General features: G+C 35.6%; 1 protein-coding gene and 1 long non-coding RNA gene across 3 annotated transcripts in view; both read left to right on the forward strand.

Moving 5' to 3' along the window:
* Positions 1-20,714, forward strand: part of CNTNAP2 (contactin associated protein 2) — a 2,304,198-nt gene that overhangs the window by 1,550,716 nt on the left and 732,768 nt on the right. The window lies entirely within an intron of this gene.
* LOC105375556 (uncharacterized) lies at positions 4,163-5,628 on the forward strand. Of its 2 annotated transcripts, none has more exons than NR_133929.1 (2): positions 4,163-4,617; positions 4,935-5,628. It is a non-coding gene; the product is annotated as an uncharacterized LOC105375556 (long non-coding RNA). The 2 variants fall into 2 exon arrangements; NR_133930.1 differs by having other exon boundaries at positions 4,163-4,260.

Below are 20,714 nucleotides of genomic sequence, written 5' to 3' on the forward strand. Positions count from 1 at the left end.
AGAAGTCATGGATGACCCAGCTCCTTTCCAAGACGCCCTTCTGAATTACTATGCCAGCAAAATGAGAAGTACTATTGGAGAATAACATACCTTTCAGGATTTGCTTATTGTTGGTGATGGTCCCACACATGCTCCTTTTATTGGTGATCTCCATCCCAATATCAAAGTAATGTTTTTCCCTCCAAACACCACCTCTTTGATTCAACCATTGCATCAAGGCATTAAAGCACTTTTTAAGGCCTATTACCTGAGAAGGACTTTTACCCAGGCTGCTGCTGCAAAAAAAAAAAATAATAAAAAAAATAAAATAAAAAAATAAAAGATACCAATGCAATTCTGGAAGGATTACGACATCTCTGACTGCACCAAGAATCTTGCTTGGGCTTGGGGTGGTGTCACTAAGGAGTGTATAAATGGCAGCTGGAAGAAGATACTCAAGAGGTTCATCAATGACTTCAAATGATTTGCTCAGGATGAGCAGGTTGGAAAAATCAACAAGGTGGTGGTTGAACTGGCAGACAACTTGAACGTGGGTGTGGATGAGGATGACATCGAGGAGCTCCTGGAGGTTCTTGAGAAATTGACTAATGAGGAGTTGTTGGAATAGAACATATAGCTGAAGAAGAGGCAACAGAAAAGGAAACTGCAGGAGAAGAAAAGGAAAACCCCCAAGGAAATTCACAGTGAAAGGTTTAGAAGTTTTTACAGACCTCAACAAACTCCTTAAAAAGTTTAAAAACGTGGACCCCAAAACTGAATGGTTCGTTCATAGAGGAATGTTCATAGTGCATTGTCTACTGATAAGAAAATCTATGATTAAAGAAAGAAAGAAACCCAGCAAAACTTCATAAACATATTTCTGAAAAGAGTGACACATCTTTAAAAAGAGCCTTAAGCAGGTCCTTCAGGAGCCATTCCAGAAGCAGGCATTGTTATCACAGTAGACAGCAGCTCCATGGGTGTCAGTGCCCCTGAGAACGTCCCAGTGGGACAAGGTGTAGAGGTGGAAGACAGCAGTAGTGACCCTAACCCTTTATAGGCCTAGGCTACTGTGTGTGTTTGGGTCTTAGTTTTTAACAAAAAAGTTTAAAAAGTAAAAATAAAAAATTAAAGATTGAAAAAATATTTAAAAATCTTAAGGTAAGGATATAAAGAAAGAAAATATTTTTGTACGGCTGTTTGTGTTTCAAGCTAAGTGTGATAAAAGAGTAAAAAATAATTAAAATTTATAAAGTAAAAATTTATAATAAGCTAAGGTTAATTATCAAAGAGAAAAGTTTTCTATATATTTAGTGTGGCCTAAGTGTCCAGTGCTTCTGGCATCTACAGTAGTGTGCGGTGATGCCCTAGGTGTTCACATCCTGTCACCACTCACTGACTCACTCAGAGCAACTTCCAGTCCTGCAAGCTCCATTTTTGTTAAGTGCCCTATATAGGTGTGCTTTTTTTTTATCTTTTATATTAATTTTTACTGTATTTTTTCTATGTTTAGATATACAAACACTTACCATTGTGTTACAGTTGCCTAAGGTATCCAGTACAGCAACACACTGTACAGGTTTATAACCTAGGAGCAATAGGCTATACCATATAGCCTAGCTGTGTAGCAGGATATACCATCTGGGTTTAAGTACATTCTATGATGTCCATACAAAGATGAAATTACCTAATGATGCATTTCTCAGAACATACCCCCACTGTTAAGGGACACAAAATAAGATTTTACACAAAATCTTGTTACTTCATATAACAAAATGCAACATAAAACTTTCAAAACAAATAAATACACTTATGCCCCATAAATGTTAATGTGAAAATCATATTTCATCAAAAATCTATATTACTATGTTAAAATGAACAGCCTTGTAACATATCTTTGCATAGGTCCCTAATTAATTTTCTTAAAATAAGTCCCAAAGTGGAATTCTTGTGTCAAAAACTATGTATTTTGTTACAGCTTTCGAAGACTACTGTTAGACAATATTGTACCCTGACCAACTATATGCTACCACCATCCTACATTTTTACCCAAGCTGGATGTGGGAATTCTTATTTAGGTCATTGTGACACTAGTTTATTGGTAGTCGTTACTGGTAGTGAAACAATGACTCCAATTCACTTCCCAGCCAGCCATCCTGGAGGGGCTCTGGGTGCCCGGGCAAGCCCCAGCCTCTCATCTGCATGCTCAATTCCACTCTTCTTTTGTTTCCCATTGGCACCACCATTGTCCGCCTCCTGGACTCATCTCTTGGTCTTCTCCATCCTTCCAGCTATTCCAGCTATCATATCATGACCATATCAGGCTTGGACTCCCCCCTAATATTTATTCGCTACCATAAACTAAATTATGTTTTCCATCCTAAGCACAAACATTTCACTAACACCCGTCATCTGTTTGTGAGGCAGCAGCAGGAGCAGGTAATCCACGGTTCTGCTTTCTCTGTACTCTTCTAGAAATAGGGGAGCTTAGATTCTCCCTGGATCCCATCTTCTAGAGATGGCATTACTGGTCTCATATTCTATTTTCTTTCATGTATTGAAACTTTTGTTATTAATAGCTTCTGACTAAAGTGAAAATGTCAATGTGTAAAATATGTGGGGTAATGTGTTCCACAATATACAGAGAAAAGCTCTGAAACAGTCTCCTGTAATTCTGGATTTTCTGTTTTCTTCTTGTTTTTTAAATTTCCGGGTTCTTGAGTCCATGTGGTCTAAGTCCTGCATTAATCCTGAACACATGGCAGCAGGGATAAAGGGAAGACCTGAGGTCCGTGTTCCAATTCGCCAGGGATGTGAATGCCCTGGACGTTCTCCTTCTGATAGGGACAGGAGGCAGAGAAATTCTAGGCAGAAAAGGGTGGATCCCCAACAAAACCCCACCCTCAAGCCTGGGAACACAGTCCAAAGTGAGAACTTACATCTCTGTTTCTGGCTCAAATATTTCCTTTTCCAAAACCATGTGTGGCCCTGCCCCATCCTGTGCCTATAAAAACCTCATACTCAACCAGCAGAGAGAGGTGAAGCAGCTGGACATCAGAGACTGTGGCTGGATGTTGGAGAGAAGTGGCTTGACTTCAGAGGGAGAGCTTGACAGCATAACTTTGGAGAAGAATCTGGCCAGAGATGGCCAGACGTCAGGGGAAGATTACCTTCCCATTCCATTTGCTTTTCAGCTCCCCTTCCAACTGAAAGCCACTTCCATTGGCGGTAAAATCCCCGACAGTTGCCATCCTTCAGGTTGTTCATATGACCTCATTTCTCCTGAATTCCAGGCAAGAGCCTGGATACCACTAGTGTGGATAAAAAAGGCTGTCACACTTGCCCTGTGCCCCTGCTGGAGGGCAGCCACCTCATGTGAGTAGGCAGAGGGACGACTCAGCTGTTAACACTCAAGCCGTCCACGGATGGCAGAGCTAAAAGAGCACTGTAACACTCCCTCTGGAGCTTCAGGGGTCATGGGCATCACGCCAGACTCTGCCACGGGGCCTGCATGAAGTTTGCTCCTGCTGGTGCCCAAAAGCACTGGCTCTCGGCTCCTGCCTCCACTTACCCGTGTGCTCCTTCCCATGAGTGGTGGAGCACAGCGGATCCGAGTGAGTGGAGCTGGCTCCTGCCTGCGCTGAAGCAGCCAGTTGGTTCCAGTGTTTGCGCACTCCAGTTCTCACCTCGTTCATTTCATGCTCTTTCCTGCAAGGAGTTGACGGCTGTGAGCTGGGCAAATGAGGCACCCGGTTGCAAGTTCCATGAAAGGCTCGGGGAAATATCCTGCTTCACTTCCATATGGAGCTAGTGCTTTGTAAAGTGCACTGACAATAACAAAGTGTAGAGGAGGACCGGACACAGGCTGAACTGAGCTTCTTGAAAAGGCTGCAGCTCTCAGAACAACGCTGAGAAAACTGGTCCTTCAGCTATAGACACAGAGTCAAGAACTCCATTTTTCAAATTATATCTCATGAAAAGCTGGTGTCCAGTGACGTTTATCTGAGAAAAAGAAATTTTTTTTTGGCCAAAATAACTAGATAGATTTTTGTTAGACTTTATAATGAGAATTATGAATTTCCTGAAAGTGGGATGGAATACAGAATGTTCCCCAAATTGTTTCCATGGAACAGCTAATAGCACATAGAGCATGCGTATTTGCTGTGACATGATAAAGCTCAAGGCCAGAGATGTCTTGTGGGGCTCCCAAGTACTCTAACCTCAAGGTGCATGCCCTCCACTCACTAATTGGCTCCTCTGGCTGTGATCGAGCTCCAAAAGGGAAGGAGGCTAATTCAAATGGGATGGCCCCAAAATAAGAGGAATAGTGTGCATTTAAACCAGGATATGGGCTATACCTGCTTACAGTACCCTTTATGCAATCTCCAGTTCATTAACTCTAGTAGATATTGTGAAGATACTATCAAAAAAAGGTTATGTTCCCCCAAATTAGGGAAGCCCTAAGGGATTCCGTATCTCCTTTTTGTACAGAGTTTGTTAGAAAATCAGATACTGGTCTGAGAAAAATGCTGATTCAGATGGTCAAGAGACTAAAAAAAAGTACTTTAAAACATCAGAATGAAATCACTGAAGGCAATCCTTAGCTTTATGATGTGCTGTACTCCTGGACAAGATGGTGTAAGTTGAGATGATATGTCAAATCTGATTTTTCTATAGGAAAAAATTGTACTTTAGGGAGGTATAGTTCTAGCCATGTTCTTAATACCCAAAAGTTAATCAGAATTACCACAAATGATCTACTCATTCAAATATAAGTAGCCCACAAATACCATGTTAAACTTTCTAAATTTGAATTGTTTAAAAAAGCAAAGTTATAGAAAATGACATTTATGACCCATTATCAGAAGCTTTAGATCCAATATTAGAATATTAGAGGCTTTTGTGCTAAACTCTTTTCTTTCTTATAAATTCTAGCCTTTATTTATCTATTTTAGGAGGGCATGTGGCAAAGCATGGCAGGGAATTCTTTCAAAAGTGGAATCCAGGAAGAAAATTCCTTGGGAAACTTTGGACTGGATTCTCAACAAACCCTTCAGAGAGACTTAAAGCCGGTAAAAGACCTTTTGCAAAAGTGATCCGGGGGGCCTCCACTTTGTTTCTCTGGATATTTCTCTGTTGAAATATAGGTGTCAAGCACGTCCCATTTTAGATGCTCTTCAGACTTCAAAACATTACCTTCCTGCTTTCAGGGAGCCATTTCATCAGCTTTTGTACTGTGTATTCACTGCAGACCCTGCTGTTATGCAAGGTACCACCATGGCTAAAAATTCACAAGACGATTCTTAGTTGCACTGATTTTTTTTTTATTTGATCTTTCACAATGTTGCTGCTTCCGTTTCAAAAACGTCTCAAAGCTTTGATTTGATTGCAGCTGGATTCAAGGATACCCAAAGCCAAGTTTGATCCTGAATTCCCCAAATCAAAAGTATTTCATTTCAGATGTATGTTCTATACCTGGCCATAATAATGAACAGCAACCATTACTGGAGCATGCTTTTGATTTTTTTTTCATTAACAGTCATTTTTATGATTTGGAAACATAATTAGAAGATTCCTATTCCAGACTACAAATCAATGGATTTGATTCTACTACACATTTGCCAATAAAGAGCAATGGTATCAAATGAAGCATTTGACCTGTCTTTAAATTTCTTTCATTCTGTAAATTCTACATGAGGTATGATATATGGAGCCAACTGGCTCCTCTGCCACACTGCTGCAGTTCAGTTGTTGGTATTGTCTGGAAGGAAAAAACGAAGTTGTGGAAGTGTGTGAGTTAGTTGGAGGTAATTACCATGTAACTGATTATCATTCATGTTCTGAGCGCTGTGCTATTACATACATTATTTTATTTCATCCTTGCAACATCCTTATTCCTATTTTTCAGCTAAGTAAAAAATGAGGCTCAGAATAGTGAAGTAATTATCCACGGAGAGGGAAGATCAGCAGTATAGATTAAGTTGGAATAAATCTAAAGCTCATCCTCTTTCACTATAGCATGCTGCTTTCTAGCTATATAAGAAAAAAACCTCATTATTCTATTACCCCATTGAGAAAGTACTGTTCTCTCTTGTTCAGCTGTCTGCTTTACTTAGCTCCGATGAAATCTAAATTAAATGCTCTGCTGCTGATGATGTTGGTAACACTCTGGTGGTACTAACCATAGTTCTGGGGAGTGAATGGGAAGAATGGCCAAGACTGGAGATGGGGACATTAGATTTTGAGACACAGACCAACTGAAATGAGACTGTGTTTTCTGTTAATAATAGGAATTTAAATGAATCATTGAAAAATCAGAGAAAGTTTTCTGAAATATAGGAAGCAAATGCTACCTATACTTCTTTATATCTTTCAAATTAAAAAATAATTTTCAATACATGTTAAATGGTACAAAAATCAGTGGGGCTTTTTTAAAAATTCAAGCTTTATAAGAAAAAATAATAAAACATGTGCCAAATATGTCTGAATACTATTAAATGTAAATGGTGTATCATTAAATGCACTGGCTGTTTGGGAGAGGTGTAATAAACAAGAGACACATTGTAGCTATGACCGTGACGATTTACTTTTTTTAATTCTGGAGGAAATTTCAAACTGTGGAATATATAAGCAGAAAGGAAATGAATAATGCATCTAACTAGCATGCGATAGTAAGCCTCACTCCCGTTGTGGACAGACAATATACAAGAAAAGATTTTGGTGGAAAGATGTAGGTGCTATTTAAGGGGAGGATATTCTTTATTGAAAACATATCCAGCAACATCTGAATGCCAAATAAAAGTCTTTACAGTTTCATCTCTCCTTAGAGAGCATATTTTTTAGTTGTTGTTTTGTTTGGGAGAAAATTGCAGTTTAAGATTTACAAACCACTTCATTTGCAAACTGCTATTACTATAGTTTCTGCCTCTGAAAATGTTTAAAGCTGCAGGCAATGAAAAGACATATTATTAGAGCTTTTCCTTATAAAGAAAGCTCTCATTCTATTGTAAAAAATGAGCGTATAAAAATACAATATTATTTATAGAGTTATTTATATAAGCAGCATTTTGATGTGCCTTCCTGAGGCTTGGAGATATTAGAAAGCAGAATATCTGAGAAAACATATTTCACTTCGTTGTTTAAATGCAATAGAGATCAAGAGATTATCTTCATCATGATAAGATTCAAAGAAATTTACACTGGTAATTGGAGCTTGTCCATAGAATTTATTCCTTATTACAATATAGACTATAGGTTGTTACATTTTTTTCCTTAAGGGAGGTAAGGTTAGATTTTTCACTATTTAGGTTGAGACTCTTTAGTTGATAACTGAAAGTTTTCTTTTAGCATTCAATTTGTTCTTGAATTATTTTTTATTTCAGCATATCTTTCTAAAAATTATGCATGATCAGCTCTTTTTTTTTTCCATTTTCCTATCAGCTGTTTATCTTAGATCTTCATTCATGGATGTGTTAGTTTCCCAGGATTGCCAAAACAAATCACCACAAACTTTGTGTCTTAAAACAACAGACATTTATTCTCTCAGCAGTTCTAGAAGCCAGAAGTTTGATATCAAGGTATTCATAAGGCCAAACCTCCTTCAAAGGCTCCAGGGAAAAATCCTTCCCTGCCTCTTCCATATTCTGGTGGCTCCAGGCTTTTATTGGCTTTTGGTGGTATCACTCCAATCTCTGCCTCCGTCTTCACAAGGCCTTCCATTCAGTGTCTCAAATCAAATCTCTTTTCTCTTATAAGAACACCAGTCACTTGACTTAGGGCCCACCCAAATCCAGGATGATTAATTTTGAGATCCTTAACTTAAACATATCTGCAAAAATCCAACTTTTCAATTTCCGAATAAGATCACATTTCCAGGTGCTAAGGTATATTAGTCAGGGTTCCCCAGAGAAACAGAACCAAGGGGATATCTAAATGACCCTTATGGGAGACCACTAGTGTCGATCCTGGTTCAACTCTAAAGGCCTGAAAATCATGAGTGCTGATATCTGAGGGCAGGTACTCAGAAAGAAGAAATTTATTCTTTCTCCACCTTGTTTTAAATTCAATCCCTCCATGGATTGGATGATTCGCACATTGGTGAGGTGGTCTTCTTTACTCACTGTACTGATTCAAATGCCAATCTCTTCTAGAAACACTTCACAGACACACCCAGAAATGATGTTTTACTAGCTATCTAGGCATCCTTTAGCACCATCAAGTTGACACATAAAATTAACCATCACACAGGGGTTAGCGTTTGGGCATGTATTTTAGAGGGATTCAGGTGAATGTATTACAAGATGTGAAAAATAGACTTTGGAGTTAGGCAAAACTGAGTGAAAAACATGGATCTGCCACTCACATTGAGGAATTATGATCATGCCCATAATTCTTTAGAGCACAAGTTTCCCCCTTTTAAAAATAACGATATTTTAATAATTGTGATGATACTAGCTTCACACATGTTGTATTAGATAATAGCGTGCATTGTAAGATAATATGTATAAAGCAATTAGCTCCCTGCTTTGCCAATAAATGGCCATTGTTAATTTATTGATTATATGGATTTTATTTTTCTAATTAGAGTAATTCCATTGACTTCAATTTCTATAGAGTTCTTCTTTCCTTTTATGCAGCAGAAGTTACAAAAGAGAATGTGACATGAATCATATCTGTATTGAAAATAGACATACGATGACTAATTTTGTTCTAAATGAAGAATGTTTTCTTATGGAATTATTGTAAGAATTAAATGGAAAAAAATGTATGTGAAGTACTTAGCAGTTAGCATTTAGTGTTAGCTACTATTATCAACAATTCCCTAAAACCTGCTAGGGTTACAGTAACCATGGCAACACAAACTCTATTTTATTTAGTAATATATTTATTTGCTAATTGACAAACAAAATTGTATTTGTTCACTATATATAATATATTGTTTTGAAGTCTATATACATTATGGAATGACTAGGTCTAGGTAACTAACATATGCACTGCCTCGTATAGTTATCATTTTTGTGGATATTTTGCATTCATTCTCTTAGCATTGTTTAAGAATACAATATATGGCTAACTATAGTCTCTGTGTTGTATGATAGACGTCTTTAACTTCCTCCTATCTAATTGAAATTTCGTATTCTTTGACCAATATCTTCCCAACCACCATCCACCAACTACCCCAGCCCCTGGTAACTACCATTCTATTCTCTACTTATATGAGATCAACTTTTTAAGATTCCATTTATGAGGGCAATCATGCAATATTTGTCTTTGTTCCTTTGGTTGGTTTGTTTCACTTAACATAAGGTCCTCCAGGTTCATCCATGTTGTCACAAATAACAAGATTTCCTCCTTTTTCATGGCTGAATATAGTATTCCACTGTGTATACATACAGCATTTTCTTTATCCATTCACCCATCAATGGATACTTAGATTGATTCCATCTCAGCTGTTGTGAATAATGCTGCAGCGAACGTGAGAATGTAGATATCTCTTTGACATACAGATTTCATTTCCTTTGGATATATACTCAGTAGTGAGATTGCTGGATCACTTAGGAGTTCTGTTTCATTAATTTTTTTTTTTTTGAGGAACCTCCATACTGTTTTAAATACTGGCTAGTTTACATTATCACCAACATCAGGCAAGTTCTCCTTTCTTTACATCCTCACCAACACTTGTTCTCTTTTGTCTTTTTGACGTTCTGAGAAGTATGAGGTCATGTCACATTGTAGTTTTAATTTGTCTTTCCCTAATGATTAGTGATGTTGAGCATTTTTTCATATAGCTATTGACCATTTTGTATATCTTGTTTAGAGAAATTTAGAGTCATGGCTCATTTTTAAATTGAGCTATTTGTTATTCTTTGTTTGTTCTGCCATTGAGTTGTTTGAGTTCCTTGTTTATTTTGGATATAAACCCCTTATCAGATGTGTAGTTTGCAAATATTTTCTTTCCCCCATTCTGTAGGTTTTCTCTTTACTCTGTTGATTGTTTCCTTTGCTGTAGAACAGCTTTCTATTTTGATGCAGTCCTATTTGTCTATCTTTGCTTTTGTCGCCTGTGCTTTTGAAGTTATATCCAAAAATCGTTGCTCAGAAAAATGTCATGTAGCTTTTTTTTCTATGGTTTTTCAACGAGTTTCACAGTTTGGGGTCTTATATTTCAGTTTTTAATCCATTTTAAGCAGATTTTTATATATGGTGTGAGATAAGGATCTAATTTTATTATTCTATATGTGGGTATCCAGTTTTCCCAGCACCATATATTAAAGAGACTCTCCTTTCTCCATGGTGTGTTCATAGTACCTTTGTTGAATATTATTAGTTATAAGTGCATAAATTTATTTCTGGAGTTCCTATCTTGTCTCATTGTTCTACACGTCTGTTTTTATGCCAGTGTTGTGATGTTTTGGTTACTATAGCTATGTAGTATATTTTGAAATCAGGGAGTGTGATGCTTCCAGTTTTGTTCTTTTTGCTCAATATCACACACTCCTTTCTAAACCTCATCATCGTTTAGGGTATATAATACAATTAATAAATGCATATATAATTATATGTCTTTTCAAATAATTGATAACCTAAACTTGATAACCAATCATAGTTTTACATACTAACTGGCAGTTCCTTTCTATCTTGCCCTGAATCTTATTTTATAGACATACATTTCCAGGATGTTACATGAGCCTTCAGTTTAGCTCATCAATACTCAGCTATCCAAAATTCCTCATTGCCTTGCAGCAGTTTTTCCCAATACCAGGGCCATGTTCTTAGCTGGCTTTGAAAAATGTTTTGAAGAGGCATCTTCTCCAGAAATCTTTTGAGACTGATCTCCCCAAATATGAATGGTGCTAGGATTATTTTACTAATAATTGAACCTTCTAATGCTTTTCTCTTTGTTATTGATTTCTTTTGTGGCATTAATTTTTAAAGTGCTTGATTTCCCAGTTGATTATTTGCTATATTAATCATATGTCTTTCAAGGTCTTGGCTTTGTTAATACTGTCTTAACTGACTACAGAATGAAGACTTCTAACTTTCAGGTAAGGATTCCGCGTTTTTTATTCAGGACAGGTCCAAAAAATGGCAAGATAACAGCAAGGGGATTCATTTGCCTGCAGGCAGTTTGGTTAAAATTCTCCCTTAGTTCTCATATACACATTATAATTTGCATTTTAATTTTACTGTCTTCACAACCACGAAAGCATATTTAGGTAAAAGTGCTAATTAGATCTTTGTAAACAACCATATGTTATTTTGGTTTATGAAATTTAAAGAGCAATTAAAAACACATATATTTACTACTTATAGGTGGGAGTGGGAATGACTTTAATCTGAAAAGTGTAAGTGAATCTGAGGAAAAAGCTAAATTAGAGATGTGTTGAATGATCTTTTGGAAGAAACTAAAAGAAATTTGAAACTTTTCTTCAGAAAACCATAGGGCCACACAATGCTACACATTGAGCCTCACCATAATTAAATCAAAATACTTGAAAATTATATTTCAAACCTCTTTTCAACTACTGTACTTACCTTAGAGAAATCTTCAAAAGAAATCTGTGGTATGTTTATTGTTAATGAAAGCATGTCATTCTTTCTCTGGTGACTTATCCGTCTTTATCAGTTTCACTGTGAAGAGCAGAGTGATATATGAGTGTGATAACTTAAGATGACATCTTATAGTGCAATCCATTATCTGAAAGATTTAAGGAAAAAGCTCTCTGAAAAAACATAATTAAGAAAATAAATGTTTTTAGAAATATAATAAAGATCTTTTATGGTTTTGGTTCAGGAACATCCATTTCTATAATATGATACACTAAGGAAATAGTCTGCCAATCATCTAAATAACACTTGTATTTTGATTTTTATTGGTTTGGCTTCTCCACAAAGAAACTAACAAATCATTAACAAGGATTAAGAACAAAAAAGTGTCTAAAGTTTTTTTAGAAATGGATTGAGGAAGTAGATTAAAAGGAGACTCAGAGAAAAGAGACTGTTTTCTAAAAATATGGCCACGTTGTAAATGTGTGTTTATTTTCTCACCAATAAAAATAGGCAATATGTTGTTTATTGCCTGGATAGTTGGACTTGACTTGGTTTTTGGCTCCTGATTTTTGGTCTGAGTCTAATGAACCAATAAAAATCTCTTGATGTGCCACATAAGTAACTCCCACTTGACCCCATTCCAGGAGCTAAAGAATCTCATGGCTTCAACAAATTCTCCTGAACCTTGCTTTGGAATTATATTGTTTATTTGTAATAGTTATTTTCTCTTTGCCTTAGTTGATTTAAGAAGTCTAGTATCACGTCAGGATCATAATATATAGATACAGAACTCCTTAAAAATAAACCCCAAATCTAAAATCAGGATTGAAAAAAGGACAGAAGTGAAATCAACCAAAGTAAATGTTTAAAATATGCATTCTTAGCTGTGCTTATTCAAATTGGTCAACTCTGAATATCTTCGTTTCTTTTTTTTTTTAATTCCACTGGTTACAGATTCCAAATTTCATCCATTCCTTCTTGCCTTAAACTGTGATCTGTAACCTGTGCCTTCACTCAAATTACCATTTCAGCTCTTTTACAAACATCAAATAGCAAAGGGCAATATGGATATTTTATTAGACTTGCACAGATCAGAAACAAAAAATGTGCACACAGGTTCAGGGGACTATGTGCAGCATTTCTGTAAGGAAATAGTGGGTGTGAGGTATAGAGAGAAAACTTTCCCATCATCAAGTTCCTGGACACTATGGTACTGCACTTGTCCCACTATAATTCCTTTAAAGTATAGCGACTACTTTTCACCTTTGTAATAACTACGGTACTTCTAAAGGGCCACTACAATAGCAATGAGAATATCATCTGTTTTTCTTGGAGGTGGTAGTTTTCATCAAGCATATCAAGACATATGAGAAGATGGTATTTAAAATATTCAGCCAACAATATGTCCTGGGCATGGACCAGAATGAACACTGGCCGAAGTGCTAAAGCAATATATTGGGGCCCCGGCTGTTTCTGAGATGTGGGGACTTTTGTGAGGTCTACCCTAGTGTACACCCGGAGTAGATTCAGGAAACCTAAGCCGTTGATGTTTACCAGTTATACAAAAGTATTTCAATACCTGAACTGCTGTGGCTATACCAGGGCATGTTCACTAAATATCAGCCATGGACTTTGCAAATTTAAGCAAGCAGACATAAAAATAAGTCATACAGTCATTCTGATGTTCTTGCCATTGCACATGCTCTCTCTCTCTCTGTCTCCCTCTCTATATATAATTTATTATACAATACATTATAATAAATAGTATGTATAATAAATAGCATAAACTAATACCTACAAAATATATAATAACATATTAGTCATATTAGACATATTCTTATACCCAATTAAATTTTTATTAATAGAATAGACATAAGGCTGGAGTGCAATTAATGCAAAATTAATATATACGTTATATAACTCATGTATAAAGACAGAATATTTAACATTAGAATATTTTGTTATTCTTGTTTGGCATTGCTTTCAAAGTCCATTTCTGTTCCACATAAAGAAATTCATTTCAGGTTTTCATAGTCGTAACCCACATATTTGAAAGGGGAAGTTTCATGTGTATGAGATCATAGACCAAAGAGCATATTTGTAACCATCATTGGTTGTTTTTGTCTGTTTCATTTAGTTTTTATAGAAATAGAACGGATTTGGAAGCTTACTGTAAACACTGTGAAATGGTGAAGACTTAAGAAGCTTTTCTTAAATCTCTAAACTGCTGAGAGCGTCCTAGTATGACAAAATGGTGCCGTCCTTTAGTACTTAAATAAATATCATTCTTCCTGAAACACTACAGTTAAACTCAGTGGGTCACTTTTGTGCTTTGGGGTGTAAGACCCCAAATATTAACCTGAGGAACCTAAAAGCACACCAGAACTTTCTGAAACTTTTTCCCCCATGCTAGATGGGGTTTGGTCTAGGAGAAAAGTTTTGCTTCTCTTCCCAGTGGGTCTTGTTTTAGAACTCTCTAAAGCAATGAGCTTCTCTGGTTTATCTTCCATCTTGTTTATTGTACCTAGTCTCTGACATGCAGAAATGACTTAATAAAGGTTTTCTGAATTCGTGAAATTCACCTCCTGAAAATTACCACCTTATGATCTGAAAAAACTATCTGCTCAACAGAAAGTTACTCATATATCTGCTTCTATAGATACAGTAGTCTCCCTTACCCATGGTTTAGCTTTCTGTACTTTCAGTTAACTGCAGCCAACTGTGGTCTGAAACTATCACAGTATTTTGCAAGAGAGAGAGAGAGAGAGACTACATTCATGTAAATTTTATTACAGAAAACATGGCATATATGGGACTTAGTGCTATCTGTGGTTTCAGCATCCACTGGGGTCTTGGAATGTGTCACCCATGGATAAAGGGGGAATTACTCTGCTAGATTTGGTAAAAAGGCAGACTAGTGGAGAGATCTTCTGAAAAAAGGAGATAGGAAATGTTACTGAAGAGAAATAGAAAATATTGTATTAATTTATTAAAAGTAAAGGTTATTAGAAGGTATTAAATTTTTGATATAATGTAGGTGACAGTGTGAGTGGGGAAAGACCTGTAAGTGCAACAAGGGGATGAAATTCCCTATCTTCTAGCCATACTCCAGTACATAAACGGCTTAAAAATAATGTATATCAAAGCAATGTAATAAAGGATTACCGTGATGAATTTTATGAGATTAAGCTGCAGTTAATTTCCTTATGCATTTAAGATTAATAAACTGCTAATTAGAATATGCAAATAAGGGTTTCTGAAGCCTAAAATATATTCCCTAGCATCTTACCCATAAATCTTATTCAGTAACTATTTTGTTATATAATTGGGGAATAACAGATTGATGAGCCAATCTAATTATGTGAAATTTACATGTGTATGGTATTTTATAATAAAGGACATGAACTAATGTTAAAGTAGTGGAAAGTAGTTGTAACATTCATTATAGTTATTAATTACAAAATTTAACTTAGTTTGAAAGTACTTTGTGCCATATAAGCTATCAGCCACACCAAGTACTCTTACTACACATCTGGTGCATAATTGTCGGGTGAGACTGAGCCCATCAGCAATTACAGCAATTATTGGGACTCTTACATTTACAGCTCACACACATCACACCCAAGCACACGTTTCTGGAATATTGCTGATCATCCAGGGACCTAGATAACAACTAATTGCCTCATTATGCAAAGTGGGGAAAGATATTCGTATTTCTTACATCTTCTGTTCTACATTATACACATAGAGATGCCTGTTTGACAGCAAGCAACAGATAAAAGAATATTAGAATTATTTTTGTGCCCAGTTAAGGTTTTTTGGGTTTGGCTTCGACTTTTTCATAAAGAAAGCATCTTCATGAGGCTGGAGGACATAAAGCAATTTGAAAGCTATTATGGGTAAAAAACATCTAAAGGGTTTACACACACACAAACACGATGAAGGAATTAGGAAGGGCTCTAATGATCCTACTATTTACTACTTTGGCAAGATACCAAATGGAATAAGAATTAAAATTCTATTGAAAATTAATTCAACTGAGTGGACAGAATGCTATGAAGTATTCGGGGCATTTTCTTTCATATAATATATAACATTTACTAATATGTTCAAGTAACAAAAGTTACCTTTATACAGTTCACCTGTACTCTGTGTATTTGTCCAACATTCCCATGAAGGACAAATGTAATTAATCCCAATTTAAACAGGTAAAAAATGAAACTTTGATATATGCAAACTGCAATTTGTAATCAATAGTGAGAAAATGGAAACTGCAGCCTTTGCAATCCAGTTCTGTGTTCTTTATACCTGTGTATTGCCAGATCTATGTGTGTAAATAAAATTCAACAAAGAAATACCTGATAAGATAAGTTTTGTGGGCATTTATAGCACACTTAGTGAAAATATATAATATCACCAAGCCCGCCATATTAGACCACTTTTACCTTATTTTTCTTACTTTAATCAATATTTCATTAAATTTGACTTAACTTTATGTGTAAAGATACTGGTATGAACAACAATTACCTTGTCCATATTATTATCTCTTCCAGCTTTTTCAGAGCAGTTTGAACAAATGAATAAAAACTTGAGAAACATAAAAGATGCCTAACTAATACATATGGCACATGCATTATAATATTAAAAGGGAAGAATTCTCAACTTGTTATGTACACACTCAAGCTTTTTTTTTTTTTTTTGAGTATTCAATTAGCAGAATAACCCTACAGAATCCGTCAATATCCTGTCTTCACTGTGAACAGAATAGAAAATTCCTCTTCTTTTTTTTTTAATGACTGCCAAAATCTAGGGCACTTGGTGTTGATGCATGACTAATTACTAATGTTTCAACAGAGTAAGTCAGATTCAAATTGTAAAGGCACACAAGTGAATTTAAAACCTACTTTTTCATTCTTTGATAATTTCTCTACCAATGGAGGATAAGAAGAGATGATGCCGGTTTGAAATTCCTGACAAAAACTTAAAACTGCTTTTACCCTGTCTGGTATACTATTATTTTATTCTAACTGTGAGAAAAGTAGTAATGAGATCATCCTATTTCAACTACCGTGACTTTAAAGAGAACATGACAGATACAATTTTTCAACAAATTAGGCTGTTTTCTGAAATACTAACAAAGTTTGCCTTTTCAGAATAAAATGTTACAAGAGCTGCTTCTGGCCCTAATGTGCCCTTATCAGCGTGTGTGTTTTTAATGTGGTTAAGGTTTAACATTCATTCCAGCTTCACCTATAGCTTGTTGGTATGCTTTATCACCATGGATTTTAAACACACTGAAGAAAATAATTTCTACCCCCAAAATTATTAAAGCCCCTACAAGGAACTTTACACTTTCAAAAAAATAATTATTTTCAAATATAAACACCTCTTTATATCTTGACTTTTAGATCCCTATAAAAGCCAATAAGACAAATTTGATTCAATGGGAATTCTTTGTACTGGCAAAAAATATTACATGAACGATAATATAGGAGACCCTCTGTTATGTAAAATTACGCTATTTATTACTTTAGCAAGTTCCAATAGAATAATCGTTGATGGCCCTGAGGTGTCACATGATCCTGAATTACTTAATTGTTACATATATTCAGGAAAATAATAATGTTAACTGCATCATGCTCTAGTCTAAGCTTCAAGAAATTGGTAATACAAATATTCTATATAATCTAGCATTCTACCTAAATATTTGATCATTTGTGACAACTACATTGAATGAGAGTTTACCATACTTTTTTAACAAAAGAAAAAATATAGCTTAGTTAGCTATTGATGAGACCTACTAGAAGAAATTAAAACTCATATCTTATGATTTATCACAAAGCATTTGAGCACAAAGCATTTGAATTTGATGTTAATTCACCTTGGCTGTGACTCACTGAGAATTCTGGGTTTTACAGATGGGTAGATCACTTCCTTTTCATGTAGCTTTTTTTAATATTGTTGACATAAGAGAATCTGAAGTATCATTTCTTCACATCCTATTTCACCTGTCATTGTCATCTCAAAAATCTATTTTCTCTTGCATAAAACCTCAGTGTTTAAAGCTATAAAAGCAAACACAGCAGTGAGGAAATTTTCCCCTGGGTCTATTTGCCATATGCTTTAAAACAGAACTATTTGAACACCAAAATCAGCATTCCTGAACTTGCGTATAGAGACGTTTGTTTTCTTTTCCCACCTGCATAAGGGTAAAGAATTCAGGCTTGCAGAATATCCTTTGAATTCTAAAACCTTGCTGAAAAATCATTTTTATACTGCAGAGTGATGACTCTTGCTACCTTCTTATGATTGGAAGGGTTTCCAAGAGAAACAAGATGGACTTGACTTCTCTTGGAAATATAACTCAGAGTGTTTGAGAGATTTAGAAGTTATTCTTCTGTTACTTTCTAGATATTCACTTTTAATTATAAGTAAAATATGTTTCAGATCCAAACAATGGTGACTTCATTCATTCATTCATTCAAAAAATGAGTGTATTATGTTTTCACTGTGTTTCCTTCACAGATATTCTTGGCACATCAGATAACACAGTGAAAAAAAAACAGATGACAAATCGTCACCTTCTAAAGCTTATATTCTACAGGGGGAATAAAAAAACAGAAACGTATACATACACGCATGCATATACACACACATAAATTTAATAGCATGACAGATGGTAATACTGCTATGGAAAAAATAAAGCAAGAAAAAGGAATAGTGAGTTTAGGATGAGGTTTGGAGGGTTAAAATTTGAACAGAAATTTGAAGGAGATGAGAGTACAGATATCATGCTATCTGTGGGGAAGATTGCTCCAGGTTCTAGGACTAGCAGGTATAAAAGGAATTTGCTGGGGAAGAGCACGGAGGACCATGTGTCCAGAAAGAGAAGTTAAGTAACCAGGAGTGAGGGGCAGACTTATTGAGGCTGTGTGCAATTAAAGGGGATGTTGACTTTAAGTGAGAGGGAGGGCCATTAGTGGCATTTGAGCAGAGCAATGAAATATTCTACTTAAAAAAAATAATAAGCTAACTTTAGCTGCTATACACAAGGAAGCAGAGGTGCCACTTAGGAGATTATTGAGTATTTTAGGAAGAGATGAGAGTGTCTCAGACCTGGGTGATAGTGATATAGGTGATGAGAATCAGACAGATTCTGGATATAGTCTGAAGTTTGAGACATTTGGCTTTTGTATTCAATATGAAATATGACAGAAAGGATGAGTTGAAGGTATTTGATTTGAGCAAGGAAGAAGTTGCATTTATTAAGATACAAAAGAATGCAGAAAAAGAAGGCTTGGGGGAAATGTCAGAAGTTAGCTCTAGACTCTTGAAGTTTTAAATTCAAAATAAATATCCAAGTGAGTACTACTCAATCTATTGAGTAGATGATTGCATATCTAAGTTTGAATTTCAGAGAAGAGGTGTATACTATAAATATATATGTGGATTTTGTCAGTGTGGAATTGGTATTTAAATCCAGGGGTCCAATTAAAATCACCAAGAGAGTAATGTAGATAGAGAATGGGAGATGTTTGAAGACTGAGCCTTGGGATATCCAAGACTCATAGTTTGTAGAGATGAGAAAAACCACAAAAGAAGACTGAGAAGGAACAGCCAGTTAAGTAAGAGTAAAATCAGAAGAGTTTAGGCTGTCCTGGAAGGAGGACTGATGTTTCTGCTAAAGTGATGCAATGATATTGCAAATGTAATATACTTGAAAGACACCAAGAGGAGAGGTATTGGAGGCAGTACATTTTTGCTTAACAAAAAAGCAAGGGAAAAGGACAGTAGATAGAGAGGGATAGTGTAAAAAAAAAAAGCTGTATAATTTTTAAAGAGAGGGTTATTAATGGGTACAAATTTACAATTAGCTAGAACTGTAAATAAGACCCATTCAATAGCTCAGAAGGGTGACTACAGTTAACATTTATCTATTGTATATTTCAAAATAGGTAGGAGAGAATAAATCAAATGTTACTAGTATAAATAAAAGATAAATATTTAAGGCAATGGATATTCTGATTAACCTGATTTGACCTTTAGAGATTATATACATGTATCAAATTATCACTTGTATCCCAAAAATATGAACAACTATTATCTATCAATTTAAAAAGTTGGCTAAAATAGCAGTACTTTTGTTGGAATGAATTCATAGAAAAATAAATGATAATGTATGTGAATGAAGAATTTCTGGAGAATTAAATTTCTGCAAGTAATGATGGAATATAGTATACAAATGGGTGCATTGCCTTGTATACAAGTAAGGATAGTTTATCCAGAGTGATAGGAGAGGTCTATGGGCTCATTCACAGGTCAGTCTGTGAATATTGTGATGAAGGCTTTGGGATATTTTTTCTGATTCTTTTATTTTCTTAATGAAGTAAGAAGCTGAGAATGAGAAAGTGTAGAAGCTTAAGAAGGAAATGTTAGGCAATAGTAATCAAGGAAAAGAAGGAGAGTGAATGAAATAGATGTCAGTAGTAGAAGGGCAGATGGCAACAGAGGCTCACATGGGTTTAAGGGTCATGAAGACCATGCTTCATATTGTTAATGTTTTTCTAGAGCCATATTTGACCATGGGTAGGAGGAGTAATTTAACCATTGTATAGAGATTCTCCAACTGTATATAAGGCAGCAACAGAGTAGCAAACACAAGTAAATAAATGTAATGACCAATTATGGGGGAGGAGCAAATTAAGAGCATGAGGAAGAGAGAGAAGGCAAGGGGCAGAATCAGTACACTGTAAGTTCTAATGCTGAAGTTAGGGTACTAAGAGTGAACTCTCACCTTCTCTATGATAACATCCATATTTACATAAAATCTGTACACAAACATTCTGATACAGTATAGCATCTTCCATTTTCCATTGAGAATGATTCTCATCCATTTGTGCTATTCCCATTTTGCAAGGAGGACCTTCTTATGTTGGGAAATTTTAATGATTATAAATGCTCTGCATATAATCCCTGCTGACGGAATCTATGCTTCATTGATGGATGAATGTACTCAATCATGATGCGGAAGAGGGCTACATGGTACCTTCCACCAACAGCTACTTTTTCTATTCCTCTCTCTCTCTCTTTAAATATTTTGCCTTTAAAAAATATATCTTCTTACCATTTGACGCATTCCTGGGAAGGCTGTTCTTATCAGCAGACATTGCTGGAAATAAAGAGAG

The sequence above is a fragment of the Homo sapiens genome, chromosome 7 (genome assembly GCF_000001405.40).
Source record: "Homo sapiens chromosome 7, GRCh38.p14 Primary Assembly".
NCBI classification, from domain to species: Eukaryota; Metazoa; Chordata; class Mammalia; order Primates; family Hominidae; genus Homo; species Homo sapiens.